This window comes from Homo sapiens, chromosome 12 (assembly GCF_000001405.40).
Source record: "Homo sapiens chromosome 12, GRCh38.p14 Primary Assembly".
NCBI lineage: Eukaryota > Metazoa > Chordata > Mammalia > Primates > Hominidae > Homo > Homo sapiens.
In genome coordinates, this window is record NC_000012.12 from 83873669 (window position 1) to 83894555 (window position 20887).

General features: G+C 34.1%; 1 long non-coding RNA gene across 2 annotated transcripts in view; it reads right to left on the reverse strand.

Annotated features, from left to right (window-relative positions):
• Nucleotides 1–15179: 15179 nt before the first annotated feature.
• The window catches only part of LOC107984536 (uncharacterized), a 297729-nt gene continuing 292021 nt past the window's right edge, over nucleotides 15180–20887 (reverse strand). For both annotated transcript variants that reach the window (XR_001749235.2, XR_001749234.2), the window contains one exon: nucleotides 15180–16305. This is a non-coding gene — a long non-coding RNA (uncharacterized LOC107984536). The remainder of the gene's footprint in view (nucleotides 16306–20887) is intronic.

The window sequence follows — 20887 nt, forward strand, 5'->3', positions numbered from 1 at the left end:
TATTCCAAAATTGACCACATACTTGGAAGTAAAGCACTCCTCAGCAAAAGTAAAAGAACAGAAATTATAACAAACTGTCTCTCAGACCACAGTGCAATCAAACTAGAACTCAGGATTAAGAAACTCACTCAAAACTGCTCAACTACATGGAAACTGAACAACCTGCTCCTGAATGACTACTGGGTACATAACGAAATGAAGGCAGAAATAAAGATGTTCTTTGAAACCAACCAGAACAAAGACACAACATACCAGAATCTCTGGGACACATTCAAAGCAGTGTGTAGAGGAAATTTATAGCACTAAATGCCCACAAGAGAAAGCAGGAAAGATCCAAAATTGACACCCTAATATCACAATTAAAAGAACTAGAAAAGCAAGAGCAAACACATTCAAAAGCTAGCAGAAAGCAAGAAATAACTAAAATCAGAGCAGAACTGAAGGAAATAGAGACACAAAAAACCCTTCAAAAAATTAATGAATCCAGGAGCTTGTTTTTTGAAAGGATTAACAAAATTGATAGACCGCTAGCAAGACCAATAAAGAAGAAAAGAGAGAAGAATCAAATAGACGCAATAAAAAATGAGAAAGGGGATATCACCACCGATCCCACAGAAATACAAACTGCCATCAGAGAATACTACAAACACCTCTATGCAAATAAACTAGAAAATCTAGAAGAAATGGATAAATTCCTCGACACATACACCCTCCCAAGACTAAACCAGGAAGAAGTTGAATCTCTGAATAGACCAATAACAGGTTCTGAAATTGTGGCAATAATCAATAGCTTACCAACCAAAAAGAGTCCAGGACCAGATGGATTCACAGCCGAATTCTACCAGAGGTACAAGGAGGAACTGGTACCATTCCTTCTGAAACTATTCCAATCAATAGAAAAAGAGGGAATCCTCCCCAACTCATTTTATGAGGCCAGCATCATCCTGATACCAAAGCCGGGCAGAGACACAACCAAAAAGAGAATTTCCCTGATATAAATTATAATTAAATTTAATATGACAAATGTGGTTATGTCATAACAATGATTTCAACTTTCAATAAGAAAAATACCACTTCTAAAAATATGTGGTCCAGTTTTTATAAAATATCCAGTAAAATGTGATTAAAAAAAAAAGCTTAACTTAAAAAGCCACATTTTTAGACTAATAGCTTTTTGTATTGAACAGGAAAATTATAACTGGTACTTTTCATTTCTTTGCATATACCCCCTACAAACATGTGATAAATGCATCATTATGACTTGCTTTTATTTATGCCACAGATCTGAAGCAAAAAATACATTTTCGTATCTAATCCAAGAAGTTATAAAAGTCATTCATTCGTCAATTCAACATGTACTCATTGGATAACTGGTATGTGTTGAGCACTGTGCTGGGAATAAGAACAATGGTGAATAGATCCAAGCTTCTAAGGTACTCCCAAGTTTCTTACAGAAATCAGACATGAAAATATTTTCTTAAAATGTACAACATGTAGCTATAAAATATCCAAAACACATTCACATACACCTAAATGAATGAACAAGTTCACATTTCTATTTAATGTATAGTGTGGTGGTGTGAGTGGGAGAAACAAAGGATTGAACTGTTAGATAAAAAATAATTTTATGAGAGACTATATTCGGTCTTAAGGAGAATGAAGATGAGAATAGTGTGATTCAGGGTAACTCATTTAAGATACTGAGTGTCATGCAGTGTTAGGGGTAGAATTGAAAGACATTTATGCAGAGATTTAAAATTGATATTTTTTCCAAGAAGTAGGAATATAATCCAATGAAATCATTTTGTCTCTTTACCCAATGAGCACTGAAGAAATAACTTATTTCTTAATGTGGAAAACATTTACTCTATAGCTGCTTTTTGGCCAAACATGGTTATAAATGGACACAGGTAAAGAATTAGTCTGAAGTACTGGAAAATATTTGTGATGATACGGAAAAAATTGGAGATAACCCTGCATTAATAATTTTGAAAACCATAGCAATGTATTAGTGAATGCATGCATCAGCAAATTTGTTTTACTATGTTTTTTAGTCACAGTATGTTGTTTTCACATATTACATTAGTCAGATCGAGGCAGAAAAACATCGTCCACACAAAGCGTTAAACAGAGGAAACTTATATATGTATGTATGCATGTATATATTTATTTATTTTGAGATGGAGTTTGGTTCTTGTTGCCCAGGCTGGAGTGCCATGGCGCCATCTCAGCTCGCTGCAACCTCCACCTCCCAGATTCAAGCGATTCTCCTGCCTCAGCCTCCCAAGTAGCTGGGATTACAGGCATGAGCCACCATGCCCAGCTAAGTTTTTTGTATTTTTAGTAGAGACAGGGTTTCACCATGTTGGCCAGGCTGATGAACTCCTGACCTCAGGTGATCCACCTGCCTCAGCCTCCCAAAGTGCTGGGATTACAGGCGTGAGCAACCACCCCTGGACAACAGGGGAATTTATAATGAAGAATTAGTTGCAACTAATATTGGAAGAATTTGATGGTGAGACAAAGTAGACTTTTATGAAAGAACAAAAGCTTTAGTGGGCTATAGCCCACTCAAAAAAGAGAAAAAAAAATGAACAAAGCAATACAAGAAACTTCTGACAGATCAATAGATGCATACCAGATGCCTAGTGTCTAATTTCATTTCCTTAGGAAAGAGATCATATCTGGAAGAGCAGCTACAGATAAAGTCACCTCCTAATTAAGCTTAAAAAATGCAATCTGTTCAATATTTATTTGGCTTTTTCTAAAGCCAACTTTTTTAACACTTTAATGATGACACTAATCTTGTCAGTTCCCTGAGAGATACAATATTGCTTTTGCTATATGATATTGGAGGAATAGTCTTTGAGGAACTACCTTTTTGCTCCTTCTTGTCAAAATAACATGCAGTTCATAGGTCAGGGAGTCAATATGGGAATATTTTTCAGTTGCTGAACATGTCTATTAAACTACACATTCAGGAATGAAGAGCGTAACTATAAGAAGAATCTGAAGATTCATTCACCCATTATGATATGGAGTTGGGTCAAAATTACACTTAATAATTTTGCAATTAATAAGCATCTACTCTGAATTTCATAACAGTGAAATTTTGTCTTTACATTGATTAGTGCTAATTCAGAGCAAGTGACTAATAATTTTCTAAAACTCTGCATATGTTCCTTATGTAGTACTCTAGAAAATATTGCAGGTCCCTTTGGGGAAGGTTTGTGGGAAATTTTAGTATAAATTGTGACAGTGGATATTTTTCTGAAAATAAGCTGGCCTCCCATTCATTTAAAGGTCTCTAAATAGGCCTAAGTATGTGAATGGGGAAAGAGGCTATGACTGACTCTGTCATGATGAGGAAAGGAAGGTCATGCTCGGTGAACCTAGTATTTAATTAATATGTCAGCAGGTAGCTTTTTAAAACTTTTATTTTAAGTTCAGAGGTACATGTGCAGATTTGTTACTTAGGAAAATTTATGTCACTGCGGTTTGTTGTACAGATTATTTCATCACCCAAGTATTAAACCTTTTGATTTTTTAGGACAACATGATAATTTTGTCACTGCCACAGATCTTTAAGGGTCAATTCACTGATTTCCACTTCACTGCTTATACACATTATTACAATTGCACCTGCTGACTAAATGCTACTATTCAAACTTTGCTACTCTGGGATATCAATTCCCATTGAAATCAGAACACGATTCCAACTTTGGCATCATGAGCCATCACTTCAGTTCACTACAATCAGCTAATACAAGGATTCCAAGAATTCTGTTGTTATCTTCTCTAATAAATTTTTCATTGATTAGTGAAAAGGTGTGCTTGGAGCCTTCCCAAGGACGTAATTTTGGGGTGGTTAGTGGGCTTTCCATTTCAACATTCCTCTAATTACCAATTCTGAGGCAAGAAATAGTGGTAAAGTTGAGTATGATCAATATTTCCCTCCAAACAAATATCTCAGGTAAACCTATTACAGCATCTTTAGAAAGGGACGCTTGTCTCCTCAGATGGTGAAGGAAAGGTGTATCTGCTGGCAGACAGTTTTCAGTAGAATTTGCTCAAGTTTTTTTAGATTAATCTGTCTTCTCAATTTTTCTCATTTCAATAATCAGGTTTTAATTTTCCCAAGGCAATGCCGCAATAATAACATAAAAACATTTAAGTGCTATACATTTGAGTTGCATTTTAATTCTATAATCGGTCTAATTGGATTTTGGGTCAAACTTTTAGACATGTCTGCCTTATAGCTACCGAAAAGTAAGAAACTTATTTAAGGACATGATAAGAAATCATTTATTCTCTAATTTCTTGAGATGGAAATTTAAAAGTCTGGGACTGTCATTATGATTTTTTAAGTTCTTTACATGTGTGAGAAGCAGCCAGCAAATACTTAACATCTCAAAGCTCACCCCTGAATTGACCTTTCATCCCAAACAAGAAAAGATGACCACTATAGGCAATCCTGCTGCATCGGCATGCCACATGTTACTGGCATCACATTTTCCTTTAGCAAAAAAGCTGTGATGTGATCAAGCTCCATAAGGAGAAATACAATCCTCTAGAATCCTCTGCTGAAAGTCTCTTTTGTGGAATCACTCCTGTTATTAAGACTGTATTAATAAAGATCTAATTAGAAAGCAGACCCCATTTTAGATAATTTAATAGACTGGTGTAGTTACAAAAAAGATGGAAGACCTGGAAAGCCAAAGAAGAAATGAGGAGCCAACCAAAGATTAGTAACATCAGGAGACCATGGTCACTTTGGAGGAACTAAAGAGGGAAATGATCTGATCAGAATGAGCACCAGCCAGTGGTAATTGGAAATATTGTGGACTGCCTAATGAGAATTGAAACATTTGGAGGAGAAACAGAGTGAGTCCTGGTTATTTCCCTGCTTCATACCCTCCAGACAGTTGATTGTGTTTTTGTTGGCTGAAGTCAATTAGAATAATTTTCAAGGAATCCTTTGAAGAGTAATTTGAAGGATTCAGTGCATTGCCCATCAATGCAGATTAGATTGGGTGAAGTTCAGGGAATGTATTGAGACCAAATGGAGGAGGGCAAGATACCCAATTTTGCAACCACTCTTCAAAGGTTATAGAGTATTTGAGTTCTTCAGAGGTCATCACAGCCTTTTTAAAAACCAAACAAACAAAAACATTATTGTTCCTGGAAGACAGATTACCTTGACTCAATGATTTCCTTGGTATTCAGTTACACGATCTAATTATGTCTACTTGAATCCTGAAGTTCTTGTTTCTATTTTTAATCTGGTGATTTGAAAACAATTTCCACTGGGTTTGTTAGCTGACAAAGTGGGCATAAAACATAGTCATGCCCATTTTTAACCTTGACTTCTCAGAGTTAGTACAGTGGTACTTTGCATTCTTACTTGATGTATGTGTCACATCTTAAAATCATTGATACATAACCTGGAGGCTTCTGTTTCCTCTCTAATACCTTCCCTATACCAGCTTTGATCTCCTATATTATTCTAAATCATCAGAGTATCTTTCTTTATGAAATAGACATCCTGTTCATGAAGAAACGAACTCATCCTGGATAAAGTTAACAACTTTATAATAGTGAATTTAATTCATAGTGAATATTTCAAGAACTTATTTCATATTTGAGAAAGAGACACCGGTTAGAAACCAAAAAGCATTTGATTCTTCCCATTTGCTTATCTCAGTCACTCCATCAAGGAACTGCATGGAGTAGATGTATATATTTTGGAAGCTTCTTATTACCATATTGTGAAATAAAATTATGAGTATATCAAGGACATATATTAGTACAGTACCAGAACTAAAGGCAGGAGGCAATGTAGCAAGTGGAAATGTAATAGACTTTGCAGCCAGGTGACTCTAGGTTTGGAAATTGGCTCTATGACCCACTTAATATGCAATCTTGGGAAGGTAATTTTACATATTTCATATAACTGTGTTTCTTCAGACAGAGGAAAATTAGTGTCAATAATAGCTAAATTTTAATTATTATAAAAATTAACTTATATGTATATAATTATATATTATAGCAACTTACATATGTTATAAGGGTTAATTTATTATACACACATACACACACATATATATGTATACACATGCATATTGTTGTAGTGCATAATATTTTATGTTTGATTAATAACTTGTCCAAATCATTATAATTAGTGGTATACTGATAATGTGAATTACTTCAGACTGTGATCCTCAACCTCTTCATTGTGATAACAGTGAGATTGGGGATGAACTAATTCAGCCTTCTTCTTAAGATGGTAAAGGGACTTCCAATCCATTATTGAGTTCCTACTATGTGATATATTAATTATGGCATTTTAGGGAAACAATTTATGTAATTAGGAGCAAGAAAAGTTATTACTGGATAAAAAGCTTATGATCAGGTAATCTAAAGTATAGTTAGGGTTAAGAAGAATTAAGATAAGCCATATTTATAAGATCATAAAATATCAGAAGAGATATAATCTAGTTTTTCTTTGCTGATTTTTATTACAGTTACCTCATTATGTTACCCCAGAAATCAATATTATAGATATAACATGTTTCCATTATCTTAAGTATGGGTCCACAATTTCTTCTTTAAAATGTTTGGAACCATATATGTGCTTTAGGACTCAGAAAATTTTTAATAAAACAAACCATAATATTAGACAGCAATTTTAACAAGTTTCTTGATACCTAATTTATGTGTCATAAAGTTCAACCACTTAAAATGTATGATTCACGCTTGAACCCGGGAGGAGGAAGTTGCAGTGAGTGAAGATCATGCCACTGCACTCCAGCCTGGGCGACAGAGTTAAAAAAAAAAAAGTATGATTCAGTGGTTTTTAGTGTATTTACAGAGTTGTGGACACTGTATTCTAATTTTAGAACATTTCAATCATCCCAAAGAGAAAACTTGTATTCATTAGCAGTCATTTCCCTTCCCATCCCGGATACCTCACCCCTACTTTAACTCTAGGTAGCAGTAATTTCCTACTGTCTGTCTACTAAGGATTTGCTATATCTACCTTATGTCTACTGTATCTAATTTTTATCTCAATAGATTAGCTTAAATGAGATCATACAATATGTGGTCTTTTTTGACTTGCTTTTTTACCTAGCACTTTTTTTTAGATTAGTCATTGTGGTAGCATATCTCAGTACTTTATTCATTACTTCATCAGCAGTGTTGAATAACTGTCAAACTATTTTTACAAAGTAGCTGCACCATTTTATGTTCCCATAAAAAATGTATGTATGTTCAATTATTCCACATTCTTGTGAATACTTGTTATTGTCTACTTCTGTGAGTATGGCCATCCAAGTGAGTGTGATATCACATGTGGTTTTGATTTGCATTTTCCTAATGACATAATTTTGCATACATTCATGTGATTATTAGTCATTCGTGTCTCTTCTTTGTAGAAATATCTATGAAAATCCTTTAATTTTGTTACGGATTATTTTTCTTTTATTATTGAGTTATATGAGTTATTTATATTTTCTGGATATTATTTCATTTATAGATATATACTTTGCAAGTATTTTCTCCCTTTTCATGGGTATTATTTCACTTTCTTTATGGTCTTCTTTGAGGCAAAAAACATTTATTTTTGATAAGCCATCTTACCACCTTCTTTGTATTGCTTATGCTTTTGGTGTCATACCTAAGAAATAATTTCCTAACTCTAGGTTAAAAATATCTACTCTTATGTTTTCAATAAGTATCTTATTGCTTTGGCTCTTAGTTTTAGGCTCATGACTTACTTTTAGTTATTGTTTTGTGTATGGTATTAGGTATGGGACCCAACTTATTCTTTTGCATGTGAATATCCAATTGTCTCAGCACCATTTATTTAAAATATTACTCTTCTCCCATTACCTCAGATACTTTGTCAAAAATCACTTGACCTGAAGAGTTAGGGTTTTCTCTTTACTCTCAATTCTATTTCACAGATCTAAATGTCTATCTTCTTTTTTTTTTTGGTGGGGGAGGGTAGGTGCAGGGGATGGAGTCTTGCCCTGTCACCCAGGCTGGAGTGCAGTGTGTGATCTCAGTTCACTGCAACCTCCGCCTCCCAGATTCAACAATTATCCTGCCTCAGCCTTCCGAGTAGCTGGGATTACAGGTTTGAGCCACCACGCCTGGCTAATTTTTTAATGTTTTTAGTAGAGACGGGGTTTCACCATGTTATCCAGGCTGGTCTTGAACTACTGACCTCAAGTGATCTGCCCATCTCGGCCTCCCAAAGTGCTGGGATTACAGTGGTGAGCTACTGCGCCAGGCCCTAAATGTCTGTCTTTATGCTAGTATCACACTTTCTTGATATGGCAACCTCTAGCTATATTCTTTCTCTAAATTGTTTGGGCATCTGCTCTCCTTGCATTTGCAAATGAATTTTAGAATCAGTTTGTCAATTTATTTTAAAAATCTGAGATTTCTATGGGAATTGTAATGAATCTTTAGATCAATTTGAGAAATATTTTCATCTTAACAACATTGAGTCATCTGATCTGTGAACATGAGATATCTTTCAGTGGTATATTTTAAGATGTGATGCAAATTGCAGCAAACATTTAAAATAGACATTAAAAATAAGGAATTCTTCATAAAACAAAAGCTAACAGGGTGCAAGGGGACTCCACAGAATGATAAAACATATTTGTAACATATCTGACAACAAACTTCACGTATCTAGAATGTATAAATATATGAAGAACCAGCAATCAAGAAGACAGATAATCCAATAGATAAATGAACAAATATTGAATAAATACTTCAAAAACATGATATCTGAATTGCCAATAAATATATAAAAAGTGTTTAATTGTAGCCATTGGGGAGAAACAAATTAAAACCACTATGTGATACTACTTATAGGAATGACTAAAATGAAAAAGATGAAAATACCGCCTTTTAGTGAAATTAAGAACAATCAAAACTCTGATCCTTTCCAAAGGAGAACAATCAGAACTCTAATATTGTTCAGATTCTAGTTTCAAATGGTCTAGCTACTTTGAAACACAGTACAGCAGATCAACTAAAGCTGAACATATGCACATCTTATGACCAACAGTCCCATTTCTTGCCAATGCCCATTAACAGACATGTAAAAGAAAGTTAACAGCACAGTTGTAATAGCTTAAAACTGGAAACTACCTAAATTACAATTAGTAGTGAAATAGATAAAAAAAAATCAACTTACAGACACAATGGATATTATACAACAATTTGAATGAATTACCTACAACTATACAAGTCATTATGAGTGAACCTTGCTGAGAGAAATCCAACACAAAGAGCATGCAATATATTATTCCGGTAGTATAAAATGGAATCAGAAAAATATCCAACCTATGCTAATGGAAATCAGCATAGATTACCCTTAGTAATGCAATGATTCAATGGCAGTGCCTGAAGGGGAACATGAGGGACTTCTGAAGTGCTGGTAATTGTGTATGTGTAAATTTAATCAAATTACGCATGTTAGGGGCCTAATTTGTTTCCCCAATATTTATATGTTGAAATTTAAAACATGTATTATATATCTATATAAAACATGTATTATATATATAATATATTTTATATATATATATATATTATATGTATATATGTATCTGACACAGAGAGAGAGAGACAGAGTCTGCTATTGCCCAGGCTGGAGGGCAGTGGTGGGAACATGGCACACTGCAGCCTTGACCTCCTGGGCTCAAGGGATCCTCCCACCTCAGCCTCTCAAATAGCTGGGACCACAGGTGTGTGCCACCATGTCCAGCTAATTTTATTTTTAAATTTTTTGTAGAGACAGTGTCTCACTGTTGCTTAGGCTGGTCTCAAGCTGCTGGACTCATACAATCCTCTCATCTTGGTCTCCCTAAGTGTGGGGATTGCAGACAGAAGCCACTGCATCCAGCCTTAAAATTATAAGCTGAATTACCTCAGTATGTGTACCCATACTTATATTTAGTATGGGTATCCCAGTACCCCCAATTGTGACTGTGTTTGTAAATAAAAGCTTTAAAGAGGTAGTTGAGTTCAAATGAAGCCATTAAGGTAGGCCTTAATCCAATATGACTATTATCTTTACCCAAAAAAAAAAGGATATTAGATTAGGCAGGCACCACAGACACCAGGAACCAACATGAGCAGAGGAAAAACCATGTTAGGAAACAGGGAGAAAACGACCATTGACAAGCCAAGGAGAGAGTCTTCAGAAGGAACCAATCCTGCCAACGTCTTGATCTTGGACTTCTACTCTGCAGAACTATGAGTAAATAAATTACTATTGTTTAATATACTCAATCTGCGGTATTTTTTATGGCAGTCCTAGCAATATACATAGTTTTATGTATATTAAACTGCATTTTACATAATAAGTTTAAATTTCTTTTTACTTATTATGACACATATACCATTTACTATGTAATTCTTAGAAAAGTCTAGGACAACATTCCCTAACCCCATTAATAAACAGCAAAACCTATGAATATTCACATGAAGTGGGATAAATAAAGACTGTAAATAGCCTAAATTCCATTTTTTCTCAGATTTAACTGCTAAATGAGTTTTGGCATCAAACTTAAAAATTTTAAAAGAAAATAAAATAATTTCTTCCATTTTTAGAGCTTTGTAGATTTGGAAATGTGGAGGACGCATTGTGGGGCTGGTCAAAAGTCATTTTAAAATAAATGTACAATGTCTATTTCCAAATGCTGTTCGTCAGTATAATAACATCAATTGCCTTCTCAAATAACTTTGGAATTTTCACAGTGTTGTTTGAACTACCAGGATCCTTAAAATGTTTTAGGCGCCTTGAGTTACAGCATAGTAAATATAAACACAAGGTCTTTGTGAGAAGACTTAGGGTCTACTGTGAGCCTTGTAGTATAATACAGTGAATATATTAAAAAGCCCCATAAAGTGAGGCTAAAAGAATAAAATAACTTATGAAATATCATGAAATATGCCCCTAGAAATTATACTCCTCTGAGCCCAACTTCAATTTCTAGTAAAACTATAGCTTTACCATAGAAGAGTATTGGGAATATTAAATAGGTTTAAATATATCATGAGTAAAACTTGATAGTCTTTTACTAGAATTATAAAATGGGACTGATTGAAAAATAAGACTTTTATCCTTATTCAAAATGTTACTTGATCATGCCTCAGAGAAAAATGTTCTGATCTCACTTCAGGCTAAGGGAGACATGTTTCATCCTAAGCACCACTAATTAATAAACCCTCTGCTGGTTTCATTTTTATCTTATGTGGTCAAATTCATTTGATACTGAAAATAATTTTTTAACTTTTATTTGCTGAACCATATGGTTTCTTATATAAATGAACAATTTCACACATAAAATTGTTACTTCAATAAATTACCAAATGCTAGTATATGTCTCTCACAAACTGTGTAATTTGCTTTTCTTTAGGGAGGGTAAGAAGGTGCTGAACATATCTATGTAAAGACTACTCAAAAATAGGACTTACGTTAATGTGGGAGGAGACTGGTAGAAGTCTGGGTTAAAGGACGGTTCAACAAGAGAGCAATGACCTTTTGGAGAAGGAAGATGGTATTGTTAAGCTATCTTTGATATCATTCTAGCCTTCGAAACTTCCTTTTAAAACTCTGTCCTTCTTCAAACATGTATTCCTAATAGGAATTTCTTAAGTGGCAAAACTGGTGAGTATATTCATGGCAATTTGTGAATTTTAGTTTTAAAAGTTGAGATCAAGATTTAATATAGAAAATGTTAGAAGAACACATGATTAGACAAAATCAGACTGCATATTCTTCTCATATCTTTTAGTTTGGAACAATGATAACCTGGCAGGGATTTCCCTCAGCACCTGGTGAGAGTAGATTACAAATAACTGAGTCAGTTGTGAAGTCAAAGAGTTCATCTTACAATGTGTGGAAGACCAGGCAAATTTCTTATGCCATATCTATAACTGATGGAGTAACCATTATGTCTACCATGTACCACACACTGTGCTGAATCTTACATACAGCACCTCCAATTTATGAAGCAATGGATGTTCAGAATAATTAAGCATCTTGCCTACGTTTCCTAGCATGCAACTGGCAAACCTGGAATCCGAACCTAGATATTTCTGGTTTCAAAACTCACAGTGAGAAAATAAATTAGGGGAATGGTGTTATTTGAAAATGAACAGCAGTGTATGGGAGTTTTGAAATTATTAGTTTGGAGTAAGTTCTAATAAAGTGGGCAAGAGTGAAAGTTCAGGTTGAGGAAGCTGATTCTGAGGGATATTTGCTCACTAAAAGAAATATTAGATCTGCAAGTAAGTTGACTTTGAGAAATAAGCTGATAACTGACATCTTGTTGAAGGCAAGGATCATATTTTATTCTACTTTTTGTGATAACCTTTGGTTATTTAATGTGCCTGTGTAATAAAATGCCAGGCTATGAATAAAATCATCCCTCAGTATCCACAAGGAATTGGTTCCAGGACCCCTTCCTAAATACCAAAATCCATTCTCAAGTCTCTTATATGAAATGGCAAGTATTTGTATTTAACATATTAATCTCCTCCCATATGCTTTAAATAATCGCTACTTACCTACAATACCTAATACGGTGTAAATAGTATGTAAATAATATTATACTATATCTATTTGTATTATTATTTATTTATTGAATATTTTCAGTTTGTGATTTGTTGAATCCGTAGATGAGGAACCTGAGAATATGGACCACCAATTCTATTTTGAAGCACCTAGGCATGAGAATATATATCTATATGTATACATGGGAAAGTATATGCATGTGTGTAAATATATTTATGGACTATAAAATTAAAATCCATATATAAAATATATGTGGGTTATAAAAATAAGAGCATATCTCTTATTTTACATATGAAGAAACCAGAGTTCAGAGAGTTGACACGTCTACCTCAGGATTATTAAGTTAATGAGAGAAAAGGCCCAGTTGAAAAAATGTCTCATCTAACTTTAGGCCAGTATTACGTCACCACTTTTTGGGCATTTGGCTTTGCATATTAAACATCAGAACTGTAGCTTCATGACCCGAGTGTCTCTTGTCCTGTTTTGATGACTGGGTTTCCAAAATATAACTCCAAGTTTTAATTCCACTTTTGGATTATGATTTTTCCAACTTCCCATTCTAGTTTGATGTTTTATCAAAGTGTTGGTTCTTTAAAGTTCACAATGGTAGAGGAATACTCTTAATTAAAATACATTGAGCAGGAAACGTGCCAAAAGTGATAAAGGGGAAAGAAATTAAAAGTCAACAGAATAAAACTAAGTAGGGTTTCAGTGTTAATTTTCTCATATATTTGAGAGGTGATGATAAACCTCCCTTTCCCCTTTCTTCCTTTCCTTTTTGCTCCCCTTCTTCTTTTCCATCTCTTTCTTTATTTTTCTTCCTTCTTTTCCTGTCTTCTTCCTCATTCTTGTTTTATATATTATTTAAATTGAATTATTTCTCAGGGATATCATATTACCAAGTGCTGCATCCTTCCTCTCTGCTTGAGATTGGCATAGATTAGTTTATTTAATTTAATCTTTACAACTCTCTGAATTTGTAACTTAAAAAAAATCTAAAGTGTGGTGTGTGTGTGTGTGTGTGTGTGTGTGTGTGTGTATGCACATTACGACCTTGACATTGTGCCAGATGCTTTAGAACCATTATTTCATTTAGTTCTCAAAATAATCGCATGACCTGGGTATTCTCAATATCATCAGTTCCTCAGGAAACTGAGCCCAAGAGTGGGTGAACTAAACTGTTTAACTCTTTGTAGCAAATTCTTTACTTGGATGCAAACTCAATTCTGTTTGAGTTCTCCTTCCTAACTACTACAATTCTTGCTTGCATCACACTAAAGGCAGGATCAACATTTGTATTATCCTAATTTGAAAGAAGTCACATAGTAAGTAACTGATTCATGTAGCTAAAATTTCTAATTGATAAGGCAAATTATTTATTCATAACCAGCTATATTAATTTGATTACATAGTCAAAGGATTACTACAAGTAAGTAAATTGACATACTCATCACCTTCCATTGTTAACCACTTTTGTGTGTATGTGTGGTAAGAGCACCTAAAATATTTGTTAGCAAAATTCAATGTATACAATATTGTTAACTGTCATCCTCCTGTGGTACACTAAAGCTTTATGTTTATTCATCCCATATAACTGCAAGTTTGTACTCTTTGACTTATTATCTCCCCATTTCCTTCCCCTCTCTTTGCCTAGTACTGACCATTCTGCTTTCTATTTCTATGTATTGGACTTTTTTTTAAGATTTCACATATAAGTGATAGTACGCAATACTTTTTTTTTTCGGTATCTGGCTTATTTCTCTTAGCATAATGTTCTCCAGGTTTACCCATGTTCTTGCAAATACCAGTACCTCCTTCTTCTAACACCGAATAGTACTCTACTCTCCACTGTATGTACAGTCTCTCCTCAGTATGCATAGATGGTGTTTCCAGGAACCCCTACAGGCTGGAGAGATAAGCTTATTTTTAATTGCTATCTCTTCTACTATATTTTTCCTCTATGTTTTTAGATCGCTTCTCTAAAATTGGCCAACAACCCACAGTCCAGAAGGCTCTAAAACACTGTGAAAACAAGAAAGGTCTTTACCAATCAATAATATTCTTATTTTTCTTTCTAGTTTTCTTTAAGACAAAACAATACTATCTTAGTATGAATTACAAAGTAGGATTCGGTAAAAGACTATGTAATATTCAGATGTAAAGAAAATATTCTTTTATATTTGTGCTTAATATACATAATGTGCTACAATGTTTGAGACTGGCTCTATGATCTCTCATTTATAGATGCACTTTGATTTGGAAAAATTGCTATATTTCATATCTTATGTTCTATTTGCATTTTATGTTTTTCCAAAATGCAAATTGATAACAGCAATGCTTTTACATTATATTATTTCATTTGTTGCAAGTCTTATTTATCAGGCATTGGCAATTTGTTCCTCAATTCAAGAGACCAGTATAATAAAAAGAAGTAAGTTACATAATAAAATATTTATTTGGGCACAACACAAATATATTTTTTATAATATAACTTTTAAAACTAATAATGTATTTTAAAGTAAATGTAACAATTTAAAAACACTGAATCAAACACAATATATAAAAATGAAAAAGTAACAGTAAAATTAAATAATTATTCATGTCAATTTTACTTAGAACTGAGACATATAGGTTGTAGCTATAGTTGCCCTAAAGAGGCAATAAGTAAATCTTAGGGTTGAAAAGATCTCAGAGTCATTTAATGCTGTAATTTTTAAACTTTGAAAGCAATTTTGATAGAATGTTATATCAAATGTGAACAAACAGATGAAAGTACAGCTGCTATTGTTAAAGCTATTCAGCTCATCTGTGAGTTTGGCAAATATTTATTTAGCAGTGCTAAAAGGGTAAATGGCTATTGTTTTGGCATCCCTCATGGGAAACTCATTTTCCCATCATGATTTCTCTTCACCTTGCTGATATTTGTTTGATAGATTTTCCAGAGTTTGACTATACTAACTTAAAGTGACACATTTCAAATGTGACCTAATCGTATTAAAATAAATTTTCTCCCATTATGTTGCAGAATTTATGTCACTTAATGCAACATAAAAAGTTTAAGTATGTATTAACTTTTATTCAGCCAAAAATAATTTTATCAGTAGCTATGTGGCCACTTCAAACAATATCCTCAATATCCTAAAGTTAAGAATATTAAGTTAAAGTAAATGTCCCCATCTTTGTTACCTATCATCCCTTCATTGATTTTAGTTTGCATACATATGCATATTTATAATGTATGTGTAAATACTTTTTGTATTTTAGCCATAGTTGCCCTAAGGAGGCAATAAGTAGTTGTCAAAGTCATGATCCATGCTTTTGTGAAATCATCCTGAAACTAAAGAATGGGGTCTCCAAACCTGCACATTGTGCACATGTACCCTAGAACTTAAAGTATAAATAAATAAATAAATAAATAAATAAACAAACAAACAAACAAACGAATGGAGTCTCAGTGATCATATCTATATTGGCCAACTGCATCTTCATATACAGAACTAATAATCTGTGGGTAAACATCTAATTGTGACTATCAGGATTCTTTACCAGTGCTTTTTAGAAAGGATGTAGAAAAATAGGAATGTCTCCTCTGTGTTGCATATGGCATGTAAGAGTTGATGGTGGTCCTGATATGAACTATGAATTGACAGATGATCTGCAGTAAGAAAGAATGAAGTTGACATGGAGATGGAAGCAGCTGCCTGAGAAGAAAGAGAAAAAGAGAGTGAGAGAGATAATACTTATTATCTGGTTCCACATATCCATAATCCCTAAATGCATTTACTTATTCACATCTTGCCACAGGTTGGGTCCACATGAGAAAACTAAATATTTTCAGCCAATTCCCTTCTCTCTCTCTCTCTTTTTTTTTTTTTTTTTTTTTTTTTTTTTTTTTTGAGACGGAGTCTCGCTCTGTCACCCAGGCTGGAGTGCAGTGCCGCGATCTCGGCTCACTGCAAGCTCCGCCTCCCGGGTTCACGCCATTTTCCTGCCTCAGCCTCCCGAGTGGCTGGGACTACGGGGGCCACCACGCCCAGCTAACATTTTGTATTTTTATTAGAGACAGGGTTTCACCGTGTTAGCCAGAATTGTCTACATCTCCTGACCTCGTGATCCGCGCATCTTGGCCTCCCAAAGTGCTGGGATTACAGGTGTGAGACACCGTGCCCGGCCCAATTCCCTTCTCTTAATTAAGGAAGCTCAATCCAGCCTTTTGACCTCTAGAATCAAATGAAAAAATGACTAATATTATGTATATAATTTTTCTTTTCATACAAAATTTTTATACTGTATGTATTGTTCTACTTTTTAAATCTTATTTGACAATGTAATATGAACATTATTTTATGTAGTTTAATTATTTTTGGCATTCATTTTCAGCAGCCTTTTTATCTTGTTAGGTGTTCTGACACTTTGAGCCTGTCCCTCTTGTTCTGTCATGTTCACCTTTCCATAATTCTACCACTTGAATTTGGTTGTTGTAATGTTATTCCTGGAAAGTAAAAAAAGTAATATATTCTGAGGTTTACTATTATTTTGATTTTCTATTATTAAAGGTGGGCCCTTTTATATCACTGAAACTGCAATCTTTAGACAGCTCTCTCTATGTCATTTATATAGCTAATAACTCAAGCACAATATAAGGTATAAAATAATGAATCAAAAGTAAAATAAATATAAATAGTCACAACAATAATGGCAGTTACCACTTGTTGAATGTTTACTCTATGCCAAAAGTGTATGTTTTTATAACATGCGTTAGCTTGTTTTAATATTCATAAAAATGTCTATTAGAAATTATCTTTTTATTTTATAGTCAGGAAACTACTCCTAAATATGTTGTATTCTTAGTCCGGAGTCTGAGAGATTATGACAGAAATGGTGTTCAGTCCAATGTCTGACTACACATGTTTATTGAAAGAATGTACAATGAATTAAGATAGGAGGCATCAGACATCTCTGAAATAAGTTCTAGATGATAGATTATTTAAAATAAATTAGAAATTTTAGAATAAATCCAATTTAGGGTGACAAAGGGAAATTCAATTTTTAATATAGTAAAAATCAGACACTATTTGCCACTAAGTTTGGAATCAAGACTAGTTCCTAAACAAACTTAACTGGCATCATTGCCATTTGCTGGAAGCTCGATGAAGCTGTTGTTAATTTAGTCAATACTTTGAAAGCAATATTTTAAATATAGTATAATGGATTAATTTTGAACACTATCTTTATTTTGTCAAAGACGGAGCAGTTTTGCCTTCAACATTATATTTGTGTCTACTATATTACATTATTATTGTATATTATATGCCTATTTTGGCCCTGATGAGACAAACTATATTCCACTTTTATAGTGACATTGAGGAATTTTTGAGGTGATCAAGAAAAGAGACATCATCATAAGGTGGCAGAAGCCTGCAACAAGTTTTCTTTAAACTACACTTTGACGGGTTTGCATGGGAGAAAGGGAGGTTTCTTACAGTGTGAGACCTTTAGAGGCTATGGGATGGGGGCCACTACTCAAAAGGGGAGGAGGGCATGTGAACTCCAGGAGGTAGAGGAATCAGAGATGGATATTATGTATCTAGGTGATGTCACTCAGCAGCATGGCAAGGAGTCTCTGGGTCAGAGTGCTCCAAAGAGCAGCAGCAGTTTTGGGATTTTATAAGCCTGAGGTTTATTTCATCTGTGGCTAGCAGATGTTGGGTTCAGTTTTACGGTATATTCAAAGCAGACAGGCTCTACATGGCTAAAAATCTGCTTATTGGGGCTATTTTTAAAACATTAGATTGATTTTAAAATTTCAGCTTTGTGCTGGCAGGATTATGAGTTAATGGATCCTGCCTGCTGTGAAGAAGAAAAAAATATTGGGCCACTATAGAAGGTCATCTTTGGCTCATGTCTATAACACCTTGTGTTCTCAGTCTTTCATGCATCTTAATTTTACAAAGAGTTTATAGAAAATGCCTTATTCAAAGAGAGTAGATATATACCTATATATAATCCATAAATTAGAATTAGTGTTCTGTTTCTCTCTCTCTCTCTCTCTAACACACACACATGTGCACGTGTGCACACACACACAAGGAGATGACAATAGCGTGAACTGTTTTATGGGTACACTGTGAAATTAATTACTAGTTCAGAAAGTCTAAGGAAAAAATAAGGCAGTTCTTTATAATTGTTGCAGTATATGAAGTGGACATATATTCAACATGAGAGCTTGAGATTTTGAACCAAAATTTATAGCATCACTTTGAGAGACTTAAAATGAACACATTTGTGGTTTTGTAGGGCTACTAGAATATTTGTGCCTGTTTTTTCATACCCAACTTTCTATGTGCATGAGATATGTCATTGGGGCAAAATTTTAAATAACGTAATAAATACAGCAAGTAATATTCAGCAATACATTTGGAAATTACAAAAGCCAATGCAGTGTAATAAAAGCATAGTTTTGGACTTTGAGAAAATGGCTTTAAGTCTTCGTTTGGCCACTTTCTCTCTGTAGGATTTGGATAAATATGTTACATTCTATGAGCATTGGTTTTCTCATGTGTAAAATGTAGCTTATAATCAAGTATAGCATTGTTAAGAGGTATAGATGTAATAAGGTACAGTAAGAACATGACTAGATAATTCCAGAAGAGATGGTAGCTAACAAAAGCCAATAACTGTCAAGTATTTATCATGTACCAGTTATAAACTCAGTATATTAATGAGCATACTTAATTCTCAAAACTATGTCACGAATTGATGAGCCAGGGTTTGAACTCAAGATAGTTTTGCTGTAGAGTGTGAATCTTCACCAAAATGTCATTTTTTTCTTGAGTGGAAAAATTAACATTTATTTTACAATAAAGAAAATAAAGAGCAAAAATAAAAAAAAAACTAAAAGTATCAAACAAGTGAAATAGAATTAAAAGTGAAAATAAAATGTCACATGTGCTCATGGTTTCCACCCACATCAAAGAATAACTGCCAGATATTAAATGTGGAAAAATCCAAAAGAGGAATTTCATATTGAGCCACACTTCCCAGTTTGGAAGAAGTACAGTGAGTCCTGGCAGATTGGAAAACAAAATAAATTCTTAAGATTCCTCCAATGATAGCAAGATTGTCTGGAAAAAAGCAGAAGATGTATGTAGGCTCTATGAAGGTATCAAAACATGTCTTAGAGCTAATTATTCTAGGAAGCCGCATTGGAAAAGAAGTTACTCTGCTTGTACTTTTTTCTGTTATTCTCCGGAATCAGTTTTCTGACTGGAAGGGGTGAGGTGTGCAGATAATTTTACTTTTCAACTACAGAAAAGATGTATCTGGGTAAAGAAAATCATGCATTTAACTACATCAATGCAGCCTATGAACAATAGCCTGTGACCATAACTAGATATCTCACCAACGTGGCAGCTCTTCCTAACCAAAAGATCAAATCAAAACTCTAGTGGCATTTTCCTATCACTCACAGAACAGGCTAAGCTTCCCACCTGGAGTAGACCCGGAGCCTAGAACTCATAAAAATTTTTAAAAATCAAACAAAACATGAAAGTACAAAGTTTCTACAAAACTCTTATCCCTCTCCTGACAATATTTATGATGGTGGCATTAGTGAATTTTACTGGAAAAAAAAATTCCCAAAACTATCCAGCTGGAAATATAAGCTCACTTCCAAAGGATAAAACAGTTAAGACGAGATTAGGATAAATTTACTGACAAAAAAAAAAAAAAAACAATATTTTTACTGTTTGCAGTGCAAAAGGCAATGTGCCAGGAATTAAAAATCTAACCAAATTGCCACTGCATGTCAAGGCATATCAGGAGACGCTAAGAAGTGATGCATGCCATTTTAATTTATATTCTGCTAGCCAAAGTAGGTCATATAGCCACAACCAACTTCCAAATGGAAAGCAAGAACAATCCTCCCATGTTTCTGGAAAAAGAGGGGAATTATATGGCTCTCCCTCTTCTCTCTCTTTCTCTATATCTTTTATTCTTCCTCTTTTTCTCCTTCCTTTCCCCTCTCCCTCCCTTCTCTTGCTGTCTCTTTTTATTTCTTAAAAAAAAGTTTATTTATAGTCCTTTGGGTATATACCCAGTAATGGGATGGCTGGGTCAAATGGTATTTCTAGTTCTAGATCCCTGAGGAATCGCCACATAAATCATGCTGCTATAAAGACACATGCACACGTATGTTTATTGAGGCACTATTCACAATAGCAAAGACTTGGAACCAACCCAAATGTCCAACAATGATAGACTGGATTAAGAAAATGTGGCACA